Raw genomic sequence first — 14,563 nt, 5'->3', positions numbered from 1 at the left:
TGTGGCTGGAGTAAACCATATTAAGGCAGCATTCTGTAAGGATGGAGAGTTTATCCATAACGAATTTATTCATCATAGATGAAATCTATACTAATTAGACACAAGCATGATCTTCAAAAACTCCACAATACTTATCTCACTAACCAGGAATAAATGCCTTTAACATTGGTATATTTTATTTCAGATGCATGTACACATGTCAATACATTTTTTATAGTGGGAGCATAACCTACAGATTTTTGCAACCTACAATTTTTACTTAGCAATGTGTTGTGAATGTATGTTAATAAGTGAATCTATAAACTTGTTTAACGGCTGTATATAGTTTTCATTTTTTGGAGGTACCATGACTTTTACAAACTATCTCCTATTGTTGGATATTTAGCTTGTTTCTAATTTTTCACTATTATAAACGTTTTGCATGTACACCTATGCTGACCTGTCTCACTATTTCTTAGGGTAGGTTGCTAGAAGGGAAATCACTGGGTCAAATGGCACACATACTCATTATTTTGACACATGCTGCCAATTAGCCAGTGTCTGAAGGGGCAGGAGATTCTCCAATGCAGTTGTCTTTTTGAGTCCCCCTTACCGCTATGTCTCTTACTTGCAGTTGTGATATCAAATGGCTCTGGGGTTGACTTTGAATTCCTCATTACATGGCAAAATCTTCAGCCAGGTTTAGGCTAAACAAAAATCTTTCTTCTGTATTTGGTGAGCTTTTTGTTCCTAGGTTGGCTGTTTATAGCTCCCTAATCTTTGACATCCCACATCACCCTATGTTGAAATTGTCATTTTAAAAATGTAAACTGTAGCACATTCTCTAATTTCTTTCTGTAATTGTGCAGAGTTCACATTGTATTTCTAAGAACTTTGCTTTCTTCTACTGAGTACTTTCTCTAAAATGGTGGCTCCCGACTTTATTCAGGGCTGGTTTCTTCTTTTTGGCCCTGCAGATGGAAAGAGCTGAATATCCCCTCTATTTTGAGTAGGAATAGATGATTGAATACTCCGCATACAAATGGAAAACGCATCATCTATCTGCAGGCATCATGATTACCAGGTTTGATTCTCATGTTCGTAACTATCTTGTCTCAAGACCCACCATTGCCTCCTCCTTCTCCTAGCTCTACCTCCTGCTGTGGCTCTCCAGATTTTGTATTTACATTCTATGATGGTTCTTCATTTATATAACAAAGTGTGATGGAGAACAGGAAATCTTTTAGAGAAATCAATCAGGGAAAATCATACAAAATGGCTTCATTATCTGGGTAAGTCAAGCTCAAGCTGTTTATAATTAGAGTACTTAACTATGCTTGCTTTAGTGTCCCATGAGCCTTAGGAGGCAGTTGCAGGAGGCTAAGTGTTGGTGAAGACCAACTCTTGACTTCCTTAGGGATAAAGAGGGACTAAATTGGGAGGACAGCAGGGTAGGGGCAAGAGGAAGAGGAAAGAAGAGTAGGAAGTCCATGTGAAAGGCAACCGTGGGTAGGCTTGCTTTTTCCAGACTGGTAGGAACAGATTCCAAACCAAACATTTTTATTTTGTGAGTAACTGGCAGGCTGATGCAAATAAACTCTCTCAAATGAAGTGTCTCCTAGAATCCCTAATGACCCAGCCATAGGCAGCTTATGCAGGGTTTAGTGTATTATCCTTCCTTCCCATTCAGGAAGCTGCTGAAACACCCTCTGCTTATTCTCATGTATTTCACAGCACCAGAGCTGAGTAAATGGAGTGGAGGCTAAGCCTCCTCACATTGCCCCTCTGACGCAGTTGGGCAGCGGTACGACTTTCTATTCCTGGATAAACTGTGGACCCCAAATATGTATTTGAGTAGCCTTTACTTAACACAATATGCTGTTGCTGTAGGCTTTGTATCCTATGAATGGACCATTTCCTAGTAGTGCTTCAAGTTTGGGCTGTGTTTCCTTGATCAAACTCAGGCCATATATATTTTTTTCTTTCCAACTTTTATTTTAGGTCCAAGGGGTACATGTCCAGGTTTGTTACATGGATAAATTGCATGTCACAGGGGTTTGGTATACAGGTTATTTCATCATGCAGTTAATAAGCATAGTACCTGATACGTAGTTTTGTGATATTCACCCTCCTCCCACCCTCCACCCTCAAGTAGACCCCAGTGTCTGTTGTTCTCTTCTTTGTGTCCATATGTCCTCAATGTTTAGCTCTCTCTTATGAGTGAGAACATGTGGTGTTTGGTTTTCAGTTCCTGCCTAAAGTTGCTTAGGATAATGGCCTCCAGATGTATCCATGTTGCTGCAAGGGACATGATTTCATTCCTTTTTATGGCTGCATGGTATTCTGTGGTGTATATGTACCACATTTTCTTTATCCACTTCACCATTGATGGGCATCTAGGTCAATTCCATGTCAGATCATATTTTTTTTCTATCCCCTTCAAAAGTGAGAGGGGCCAGTGCATGTGAAGTTTGGAAATGAGAGCCAAGTAGGTTTACATGTCTCGTGAGGCACAATATGATTCTCTACTTGTCATCACTGTGGATGGACTCAGGATGTTCCAGTCCCCTTGTTATCCTGAGGACCACAGTCAAAGCATGTTGAGAAACCCAGGTTTTAGCCCTGCCTGTGCTGCTGGCTGCTGGACCAGCAATCCTTCTGTCATATCTCACAATATGCTTTGTGAGTTTTAAAGACTGGGAGAAAGAAGAAAATGGAGTTCACTCATGTCTTTGTTTGGGTTGGTGTCACACAATTCCATAAACTGGGTGGCTTAAAAATAACAGAAGTTTATTTCTCATAGTTGTGGAGCCTGGGAAGTCTAAGATCGGGGTGCTGGCAGATTTGGTGTCTAGTGAGTGCCCACTTCCTCATAGATGGTGCCCTCTCACTGTGTCCTGACCTGGTGGAAGGGGTGAGGGGTCTCTCTTGGGGCTCTTTTATAAGGGCTCTAATTCCATTCATGAGGGCTCCACCTGCCTGACCTAATCACCTCCCAAAAACTCACCTCCAAATACCATCACCATGGGGGTGAGGATTTCAACATAAGAAGTTTGGAGGGTAATGCCTAGGTTTTCTTCTAGGGTTTTTATGGTTTTAGGTCTAACGTTTAAATCTTTAATCCATCTTGAATTGATTTTTGTATAAGGTGTAAGGAAGGGATCCAGTTTCAGCTTTCTACATATGGCTAGCCAGTTTTCCCAGCACCATTTATTAAATAGGGAATCCTTTCCCCATTGCTTGTTTTTCTCAGGTTTGTCAAAGATCAGATAGTTGTAGGTATGCGGCGTTATTTCTGAGGGCTCTGTTCTGTTCCATTGATCTATATCTCTGTTTTGGTACCAGTACCATGCTGTTTTGGTTACTGTAGCCTTGTAGTATAGTTTGAAGTCAGGTAGCGTGATGCCTCCGGCTTTGTTCTTTTGGCTTAGGATTGACTTGGCGATGTGGGCTGTTTTTTGGTTCCATATGAACTTTAAAGTAGTTTTTTCCAATTCTGTGAAGAAAGTCATTGGTAGCTTGATGGGGATGGCATTGAATCTGTAAATTACCTTGGGCAGTATGGCCATTTTCACAATATTGATTCTTCCTACCCATGAGCATGGAATGTTCTTCCATTTGTTTGTATCCTCTTTTATTTCTTTGAGCAGTGGTTTGTAGTTCTCCTTGAAGAGGTCCTTCACATCCCTTGTAAGTTGGATTCCTAGGTATTTTATTCTCTTTGAAGCAATTGTGAATGGGAGTTCACTCATGATTTGGCTCTCTGTTTGTGTGTTGTTGGTGTATAAGAATGCTTGTGATTTTTGCACATTGATTTTGTATCCTGAGACTTTGCTGAAGTTGCTTATCAGCTTAAGGAGATTTTGGGCTGAGACAATGGGGTTTTACCATTCAGGACATAGGCATGGGCAAGGACTTCATGTCCAAAACACCAAAAGCAATGGCAACAAAAGAAAAAATTGACAAATGGGATCTAATTAAAATAAAGAGCTTCTGCACAGCAAAAGAAACTACCATCAGAGTGAACAGGCAACCTAAAAAATGGGAGAAAATTTTCCCAACCTACTCATCTGACAAAGGGCTAATATCCAGAATCTACAATGAACTCAAACAAATTTACAAGAAAAAAACAAACAACCCCATCAAAAAGTGGGCGAAGGACATGAACAGACACTTCTCAAAAGAAGACATTTATGCAGCCAAAAAACACATGAAAAAATGCTCATCATCACTGGCCATCAGAGAAATGCAAATCAAAACCACTATGAGATACCATCTCACACCAGTTAGAATGGCAATCATTAAAAAGTCAGGAAACAACAGGTGCTGGAGAGGATGTGGAGAAACAGGAACACTTTTACACTGTTGGTGGGACTGTAAACTAGTTCAACCATTGTGGAAGTCAGTGTGGCGATTCCTCAGGGATCTAGAACTAGAAATACCATTTGACCCAGCCATCCCATTACTGGGTATATACCCAAATGACTATAAATCATGCTGCTATAAAGACACATGCACACGTATGTTTATTGCAGCATTATTCACAATAGCAAAGACTTGGAACCAACCCAAATGTCCAACAATGATAGACTGGATTAAGAAAATGTGGCACATATACAACATGGAATACTATGCAGCCATAAAAAATGATGAGTTCACGTCCTTTGTAGGGACATGGATGAAATTGGAAATCATCATTCTCAGTAATCTATCGCAAGAACAAAAAACCAAACACCGCATATTCTCACTCATAGGTGGGAATTGAACAATGAGATCACATGGACACAGGAAGGGGAATATCACACTCTGGGGACTGTTGTGGGGTGGGGGGAGGGGGGAGGGATAGCATTGGGAGATATACCTAATGCTAGATGACGAGTTAGTGGGTGCAGCGCACCAGCACGGCACATGTATACATATGTAACTAACCTGCACAATGTGCACATGTACCCTAAAACTTAAAGTATAATTAAAAAAAAAAAAAAAAGAAGTTTGGAGGGACACAAACATTCAGTCCGTAGCAGCCCACCTAGCGTCTAAGACTGTGGCTCAGGTATATTCGGAGCTTTGCTTCTTCCCACCCAGTATGGAAGCTTTAGGAGACTTGCCTGCTGCCTGCTTTACCTGTGTTTGTCACCTCCCCATGGGCCTCTCCTTCCGGGTGCTGGCTATGCTGGGGTCTTGGGGTCTCTTACCTTCCCTTGACTTTGTGCTGCTCCCTTGGACAGTCTTTAGTGGAGGGGTGATGTGGGAAGAGCTACACTTCCCTTTGCTCTCCTGTCCCTTAATTCCCCAGAGCTTCACACATACAATGACTTTATCAAAGATTAAAAAGAGAGGGAGAGAGAGAACCTTAAAAATAGCTATTCTCAGAAGTTAAGAGAAAAAAAAAAAACACTCCTAAACTTTTGACAGGAAGTCACCTGAGAGATTAGCTCTGTGTTGGTGCATGGCTTGAGGTCTGTCCTCCTCAGAGTAAGTGCTCCTCTTTCAGTCCTCCACGGGGCAAACTCCCACTCCTGTCCACAGTGGATCCCCACTGCCCTCCCTACTCAGGGAGAGCCCATTGTTGTTCATTGGGGGGTGTTCCTGAAGTCTGAGTTAATCACTATGGATAGCATGGCCAGGAGCACCAGTGGGGAAGACGCTCTCCTCGGGGGTCTCTGGGATCCTTTGAGCATTGACCCACGCTTAGCACACAGGGCATACAGATCTCCGAGGACACTTGCCTTCCAGACCTACCAAGGAGAGAAATGCTTTTCTAGAAGGCAACATACCTGCAGCTGTATTCTCTGTCTGCCACAGAAGAACAGTTGTCTTTATTGTGCCTTGACCTTTCCTCATCTTTCAGCTGCCATGTCGTGCCCAACGGCTTAACAGTACAACAGAAATGGGACTCAGCACCCAGTACTGTGCCTCTCCAAGCCTCCAGGCCATTTGGCACTGGCCACTCCCACTGACTAGGTCAGACCTACAGGTTTGCTTACCTGGGGTTCCATCCCATCCTTAACTGGTGGGATGGTGGCCTTGCAGCTGACTAGGAGAAACTGAAGGTGGTACAATGGAGTGAATTCTCTAGGAAACAGAAGGGGTCAGCCTACTTGGCCTGTTTTGGCTGGGTCATTTGGTCGTTTTTCTAAAGGCCAAAGTTCATGCTCTTTTGACCAAAGTTAGGGATTTTTTTTTCATCAGGGGAGTTAAATGAGCTATTTGCACTTCCATATTTTTGAAAAGCGGCCTTTCACTCCAGCAGGCTCAGGCTGCCAAATTGGTGTGTCCCCCCATCTGTGGACACCAACATCACAGCCACCCAGAGCAATGGGGCAGATCCCGGTGGTGACTGAGCAGCAGGTTGAGGCTTTGGAGACCCGTTTTGATGTGTCTTTGATCCCTCCACACGTGGCTGAAGGCACGTGGGAGACAGAGTGTGGACCTCAGGCCTTTGCTGCAACATCATGAGAAAACCAGGACTCCCCTGCTGCCTGTAGCTGGTGGGTGGGTAGGAGGAGTTTACTTAAAAAAAAAGTTAGACCCTAGGGTTGGGGCTGGGGTTTGTTCAAGGGCTGGGGCAAAAGGAGGTGATAGAAAGGAGGGAGCTTGAAAATTGCCAAGGGAGGAAGGAAGGGCTCAGTTGAACAGATCAGTCTTTTTCCTTTAGGAGGGGACTGGAGAATGCTCCATCATGGTTACAGAAGAGCTTCAAGGGCCGTGGGACCTTCTTTAGCCATTCTCACCAGCAGAAAGCCACAGGGAAGAAGAGGAAAAGGGTGAAAGAAGCCCAGAGTGATAAAAGGGAGTCTCTATTCTCTCCCATTCTTTAAAACCAGAGCATTTTGAGCAAACCACCATTAAGACACTTGCTTTATTGATTTTTATAAATTTTTATTTGGCTATTTTGGGGATGGGGGGAGACAAAAATCACTGAAGGAAATGTTCAAAGCTGGGAGGAAAAGTGGTTGGTGACTTTTTTCCCACATTTGTAAAACATCCTTTCACATTTTGTCTGAATGCCTATTGCCCGTTGCCAAATCCTAATTCAATTAAAGGTTTAGCAATGAACACCAGTTTAGAATTGTTTTGCCATCTCTGCTCAGGACAATAGGCAGTGGAAAGAAGTGAAGAGGGGGGTGTCAGATGCCACACACTGGGGGATATGGGTGCTATGGGTCACCTGCAGCCATCTAGCTTTAAAATGACCGGGGAAGAGCCTCCTGCATTCACTGTGGGGAGAAGTCAGGAGCTGGGCTGGCCTGTGTCTTCAAAGTGGCAGCTTTAGAAATCAGGAGAGTCTCCTGGGACCAGCTCAAGCTGCAATAAAATGCGGTGCCATTCATGCATTAAACAGATCCTTACAGAGAGGCTGCTGCTCTGCTAGGCGTTAAGGACAGCCCTCTGGAAGACAGATACAGCCACATCTGGCAGCTGCATGGAGGCCAGCAGCCCGAGACCCTGGGTGATGATGCATCTTGGGCTTCTGCCACCTGCTAGCACCACACTCTGACCCAAACCTTCACATGGGACACCTGGCACCAAGAAGGAGGATAGAGATGTTTGAATCTAGGACCAGATACTTACTGGATTAATGACTTGGCCTCTCAGAGCTTCAGGTTCCTCATAGACTCCCACCATAAAGTAGGTATGATAGCACCTATCTTGGACGGTTGTAACGATAGTCATCTGTCATTTGACCAGTGCTGGAACATATAGGTATATAGGTGCTTGGAAAAAGGTGGCTATTTTGAAATATTCTATGATTTAAGCCCTGGTGTGCTTAATACCCCCCTGAAACACCTAAAGTTGAGACTTCAAGATGTATAAAACCTTCCAAATAGATTCATGCCACATTTATCCACCCTCCCTCTCCAAGCATACACATGCACTGCTGAATCTTCCAGAAGGGGAGGTCCTAAGGGTGCCAAGCCTGAACAGATACTGGGAGGAGGACTCGGGGCATTCCCTCCAGACAGTTTTCCCAAGACCCTCCACTGCCATTGGGAAAAAGAGTGTGGGAACCCCGGGAGTCTTAATTTAGGCAGCCAAAGGGTGGGCCTTGGGAGCTCCAGCTCTCTCAGATTTCTGGTCTGGCAAGATGGAGTATGAATAAGAAACTCAGTAAGCATTTAACTGCTGATTGACTCTGGGAATTCCCAATAGTATTCGCAATAGAGAAGGCAGGTCCCCTTCCCCCAAATGTCAGAAGCCGGCTTCCTCCGCCTACTCCTGGTGACTTCCACCGCCCTGGACACATGGGGGCGCTGCAGCCCTACTTTTGCTGGATGCCCTCCCCGTCCGAGTCCTGAAAGACCCTGATTTTCCTCTGTATCTGGGTGAGTTCACATTCTCTGTGTCTTCCTATGTAGAAATCAGCGAAAGCTCAGCAATGTACTTAGAAAATAAAACCAAAAATGTGCACCTTAAACCAGGAAACAAAAACTTACGCAAGCAATGCATTTTTTTAATTGTACAAACACTTAAAAGTATGTGTAAGCAAAAAGAATTCCAAATACCCTGTGAGAATAATATTCAAAACACACACACACACGTGCACAAACACATGGAATGGGACGATAAGGGTGATTTTTATTTATTTATCAAGATAAGGTATCATTCTGCAAACTATTTTGTTATTAGCTTTTTCACTTAAAAATAGCCCTGCTTGCAAGCAGGCTCTGTGGTGCAATGGATAGCGCATTGGACTTCTAGCCTAAATCAAGAGATTCAAAAATAGCCCTGCTAAATATTTGCAATCTTTCCTACGCTCCTTTTTCCCCCAAAGTGACTTTGGATATCCAGAGTTACCAAATCTAGTATTTGAAGTCCTTAGGTTTGAGGGTTGAAAGTGAAAGGCAAGCTGTTTTAATGAAAATTCCTAACTGAAGAGAGCGGAGACTTAAGATGCTTAAATTTTGGTCACACCTGAGCGGTATTTGTTTGCATGGCAGTTAGAAGGCAGGTAATTTGTCCTAAAACTAAAACAGCAGTTAACAACCTTTAAATTCCCTGAGGAGATCCCTTCTTCCCCAACCAAACCTGTTCCCATTTCCTTCTAGACTGGTTGACGGTCAGGTGGGCTGATTGGTTCTCCCTGCTACAGTGGTAGAATTCAGCGCTGTACCTAGGTAAGAAGGGTTTTGGAGGGTGTATGGGAAGGTACACACAGGGTAGAGATGATAGCACAGGCTTTGTGGTCAGACTGGCAATGGTTCAAATCCCAGCTCTGTGACTTCTTGCCCAGGTGGGTGGCCTCAGGCAAATTACTTAATCGCCCAGAGCCTCATTGGTAAAACAGGGTCATAAAACTCTCACAGAATTGTGACTGGCAGATTATAAGCACCCAATGCTCTTTTAGGGGTTCACAAAGTTTTTCTGCAAAGAGCCAGATAGTGCATATTGTAGGCTTTGTGAGCCATACAGTCTGTATCATAATGAGTCAACTCTGCCATTGCATCACAAAAGCAGCCACGGACAGTATGTAAATAAGCGAGCAAGGCTGTGTTCCAATAAAAGTTTATTTACAAAAATAGATGGCAAGCTGGATTTGACCTGTGGACCATGGTTGACTGACCCTGCTCGTGATCATCCCCATCCAACAGAAATATAGCAGAGGCCACAGATAGAATACTAGATTTTCTTGTAGCCACACTATAAAAGGAAAGAGAAACAGGTGAAATTAGTTTTAAGAATAGATTTTATGCCCGGGCGTGGTGGCTCACACCTGTAAGCTCAGCACCATCGGAGGCCGAGGCGGGCAGATCACTTGAGGTCAGGAGTTCCAGACCAGCCTGGCCAACATGGAGAAACCCTTTCTCTACTAAAAATACAAAAATTAGCTGGGTGTGGGGGCTGATGCCTGTACTCCCAGCTACTTTGGAGACTGAGGCAGGAGAATCGCTTGAACCAGGGAGGCGGAAGTTGCAGTGAGCCAAGATTGTGCCATTGCACTCCAGCCTGGGTGATAAGAGTGAAACTCCATCTCAAGAAAAAAAAAAAAAAAAAGAATAGATTTTACTTACCTCAATATATCCAAGTTATGATTGCTTCAACATGTAACTAATATGAAAAATTCCTTAATGAGATGGTACATTTTATTTTTTGGTAATATTTTCAAACTCTGCTGGTATTTTAAACTTATGACACATCTCATTTTGCACTGGTCACATTTCGAGTGGTCAGTAAAACGTAACCTCAATATTGCTTCTCAAACTGCAGGCCAAAACCAATTTAGTGGGTCAAGAAAGCAACTTACTTAAAAAAAATCAAATTTTAAAAATGAAATGGAGGAGAATAGAAACTATCAGGGTACACTACATGTAGGAAGGACATGGGTCGTTTCTTGTACTTTGGTGTGTGAATGCCTGTGTGTGCACGTGCCTGTGTGTGGGTGTGCGCTGAGACATCATGAGAAAAAGAAGACATCTATTTCTTACTGTAGATTGCACACAGACATGTTTGAAACTCATTACTGTACGTGCTAAAGTCAAGTGGGTTTTTTGTTTGTGTTTTTGTCTTTTAGAGCAGGCTAACTGGGGTGTTTAGCTAGTGCTTCACACAGGCTGTGCTGTTGACCGAATAAACATCCAAAACCAGCTAAACCAGTTGCTAAATGTCATAGTGACCATTTAAAAATACAAATCAAAGTTTCAAACTTTAAACTTTATTATCTCTATTCTTAGCTTTAAAGCATGCTCATTTTACAGATAGCAAACAGAAATCCGGAAAAGTGAAATACTTAAGACCCCAAAACCTTGGCTGGGCCCAGTGTCTCATGCTTGTAATCCAACACTCTGGGAGGCTGAGGTGGGAGGATCACTTGAACCCAGGAGTTTGAGACCAGCCTGGGCAATATAGCAAGACCTGGTGTCTACAAGAAAATTTAAGAACAAAAAAGAGGCTGGGCATGGTAGCTCATGCCTGTAATCTCAGCACTTTGGGAGGCTGAGATGGGTGGATCACCTGAGTTCAGGAGTTCAAGACCAGCCTGGACAACATGGTGAACTCTGTCTCTACTAAAAATACAAAAATTAGCCAGACATAGTGGCTCGTGCCTGTAATCCCAGCTACTCCGGAGGCTGAGGCAGGAGAATCGCTTGAACCCGGGAGGCAGAGGTTGCAGTGAGCCACGATCATGCCATTGCACTCCAGCCAGGGTGACAAGAGTGAAGCTCTGTCTCACCAAAAGAAAAATAATAATAAGAAGAAGAAGAAGGAGAAGGAGAAGAAGAAGAAAATACTAATAGTTAAAAACAAAACAAAAAAAAGACCAAAAACCTGAGAAGTAGTTTTGGAACGAGAATGAGGAACTCTGTGAACTCAGCCTTGAGCTCCTTCCTCACCTGCTGGGCTCTCTACCTGGGCATGTGAATGGGAAACTGGGCCAATTCACCCAGTGATTTAAGCATTGAGTCATTTTTTTGCTTGGAATATTTGAATATATGAAATAAAAGTTAAAGAGGTATTGCTTTAAAGCACTTCATTCTCTTATTGATTCTTTTATTGACTCTTCCACAAATATTTTTTTTCCCTCAGTTTTTGGTCATCTACATATTTAGGTTTTTAAAAAATTAAATTAGTTTTGTACTCAGGGGTACATGTGCATGTTTGTTACGTGGGTATATTGCATACTGGTGGGGACTGGACTTCTAGTGTACCCGTTACCCAAATAGTGAACATCGCATCAAATAGGTAATTATTCAACCCTCACTCCCAGCCCCTTTTGGAGTCCCCGGTGTTTATTATTTCATCTCTATGTCCACGTGTACCCAGTGATTAGCTACCACTTATAAGTGACAACATGTGATATTTGGTTTTGTGCTTCTGAATTAGTTCATTTAGGGTAATTCCACCTGCTCATGCTTTCTGAGCATCCGAAGGTGTATCCTGCTGGGAAACAAATGTGAAGGAGGCATAGGCTCTACATGCTCACAATCTGGGGTAGGGTGTTATCTTTCAATAAAAACATGTCTGAGTGGGGCATGGTGGCTCATGCCTGTAATCCCAGCACTTTGGGAGGCCGAGGCGGGAGGATCACTTGAGTCCAAGAGTTTAAGACCAGCCTGGGCAACATAGGGAGACTTTGTCTCTATAAAAAATACAAAAATTTAAACAGGCATGGAGGCACACACCTGTAGTCCCAGCTACTTGGAGATTGGGGCAGGAGGATGGCTTGAGCCTGGGAGGTCAAGGTTGCAGTGAGCTGTGATCACACCACTGTACTCCAGTCTGGGCAACAGAGTGAGACCCTGTGTCAAAACAAAACAAAACAAAAACAAACATGTCTGAGATTATTTCGAATGCTATAAAAAAGAGTTTGTTTCATCTGGTATGTAGTGCCGTAAAAGATGAAAATGTGAAACTGATGAAACTCACTTTTCCTCCCTGCTCTTTAGCAATGGGATGAAAGACATTTTAAATAAATCTATGACTCATCGGGTCTTTCTCTTTTCAGTAAAAATTATTTAAGGCCTATTTTCTGGAAATAAATTCTGGGTAAACCCTACTCCCCTAATGGGATCCCATTTCTTCCTTTCCCCGAGGGTTGATACGTAGAATGAACACAGTCTTTGGATTCAGGCAGACTTGGGTATAAATTCTGCCTCTACCACTTCAAGACTATGAGGCTTAGGCCATGTTCTCTAAGACTCAGCTTCCCCATCCATAAAATGAGTATGATAACGCTGACCTCATAAGGTTGTAGTAACGATTAGTTGCAAGAATATATGTTAATTAAGAAAAAAGTTCAAGTGTGAAAAATGCTTTTATATATGAATTTTTGGTATGAATAAGTTTTCATCACATAGCTAATTGAGTCTAGAAATGATTTTGTTTGTTTTTGTTTTTTTTTGTCACTTCCTCCTCCTTCCAGAAAGGTGCAGTGGGAAGCTGAGAAAGGCATTTTGGTTCCCTTATTTTAAGGTCCTGATGCTTAATGGCTTACCGACTGCATTTTTAAGATATTGTTTCCCTACCCATTCATATCTCTGTCTTATACATGTATGGTTTCTGTCAGTAATTCAACATTCACAAAAAAATGGCCCAGACATTATTTTAAAAAAGAACAAAAAACAAATAGGCCTTGCAGTTGTTACCATGGCAACCAAATACTTTCCTGTCATTTATTCAGAAGTGAATTATTAATGAGCTTTGTCTGGGACATAGTCAGAAAACACACCCGTTACTCTCCAGGGGAAGGTAATATGGCTTCTGTAGCAAGCAAGGTCACAGTGTGGAAAAGTAGGGGATGTTCTTGCCTCCTCATCCAGTGTGGGGAAGACCCAAATGAGCCAGCCATTTACATGGGAGCCTCCTCAGTGGCCAGAGACCCCACGTTTCTGGCATTTTGGGATTGCATAAAAAGCTGGGCCCCTCTCTGAGTCACTTTTCTAGAAGCAGCATCTTGAACTGGCATTTCTTCCCCCACCCACCCCAGAATGATTTGACCCATTTCTTCTTAGGTAATTCTCTCCCACACATTAAGGCAGCCATCTTCAGTGATTGATTGACCAGGATCAAGTACATATACCAATTCTACAGGAGAATGGGGGTGAGGGGAGGTGCCAGAAGATGGGAAAGTCAGAAGGTCTATTTTTGCAGATTACTGGGTGTGGTGGATACCTGTAATCCCAGCACTTTGGGAGGCTGAGGCAAGAGGATTGCTTGATTCTAGAAGTTCAAGACCAGCCTGGGCAACATAGCAAGACTCCATCTCTACAACAAATAAAAAAGGGGGAAAAAAGATGTAAATTTTTGCCCCTTGTTCTTTTTTAAAAATGAAAAAGCACTGCAGGTTAGTCACCAAGCTTCTCAGACAAGGTAATTTTAAGGAATGTATTTAAGCTTTCTAAGTCCCAGTTTCCATGTTTGTAAAATGGGTTTAATAGTAGGACCACATTATTTAGGGGTGGTTGTGAGGATAAATGCATAGGAACTATATGAAGAAGTTCCTGACACACATTAAGCCCCTTAGTATGTTAGCTATTGCTTTTAAAATGATTTATCCCTAAACCATATATCAATATTGCTTGAAGGTTGAATCACCTGAAATTTGTTATGATTTCAAAATACAACCTTTTAAACTGATGGGTTTTTTGAATTTTCAAAAATAAAAATTGATGTTCTTTTGATTTCTTTCAAAAGAAGATGCTTGAAATAGCCATCTGAGTAGTAACATATTGATGCCTTTTCATCGGCACCTTTCTTCAGTTGATTGTTGATGTACACTGACATCCCTGAATTTCATTACAGCAGTGACTGAGGGTGTCAACGTCTACAGGTATCTGGAAACCATATTTATTTTAAATGACATCTTTTTTTTTCTGGCACAATAAAAGAGTGAGGAATGAGAGAAGACAAGATAGGCCTAAGAATTTAGATATTCCATGGAAAAAACAAACCTGAGAGTGTGAAAGAAATATAGCAGGGAACATGGTTAAGGTTCAGAGAAAAGAAAACTGTCATTATTTTTATTTTATTTTATTTTATTTATTTTATTTTTTTGAGATGGAGTCTTGCTCTGTCGCCCAGGCTGGAGTGCAGTGGCGCCATCTCGGCTCACTGCAAGCTCCGCCTCCCGGGTTCACCCCATTCT

The 14,563-nt window shown here is 42.5% G+C and overlaps 1 protein-coding gene across 12 annotated transcripts in view; it reads left to right on the top strand.

Annotated features, from left to right (window-relative positions):
• Nucleotides 1-14,563, top strand: part of SLC1A2 (solute carrier family 1 member 2) — a 169,303-nt gene that overhangs the window by 19,870 nt on the left and 134,870 nt on the right. Inside the window, exon 1 of one of the 12 annotated variants that reach the window (XM_047427437.1) lies at nt 1,044-1,063. The exons of 10 other annotated variants lie outside the window; for them this stretch is intronic. In XM_047427437.1, the coding sequence (XP_047283393.1) occupies nt 1,053-1,063 (11 nt within the window). In that variant the 5' untranslated portion in view covers nt 1,044-1,052. Of the gene's footprint in view, nt 1-1,043; nt 1,064-9,077; nt 9,099-14,563 lie in introns of those variants that run through there. One more of the 12 variants, XM_047427438.1, reaches the window with a different exon arrangement.

Source organism: Homo sapiens, chromosome 11 (assembly GCF_000001405.40).
Source record: "Homo sapiens chromosome 11, GRCh38.p14 Primary Assembly".
NCBI classification, from domain to species: Eukaryota; Metazoa; Chordata; class Mammalia; order Primates; family Hominidae; genus Homo; species Homo sapiens.
Note: the sequence above shows the minus strand (reverse complement) of the source record. Positions and strands in the feature narration are given on the sequence as shown.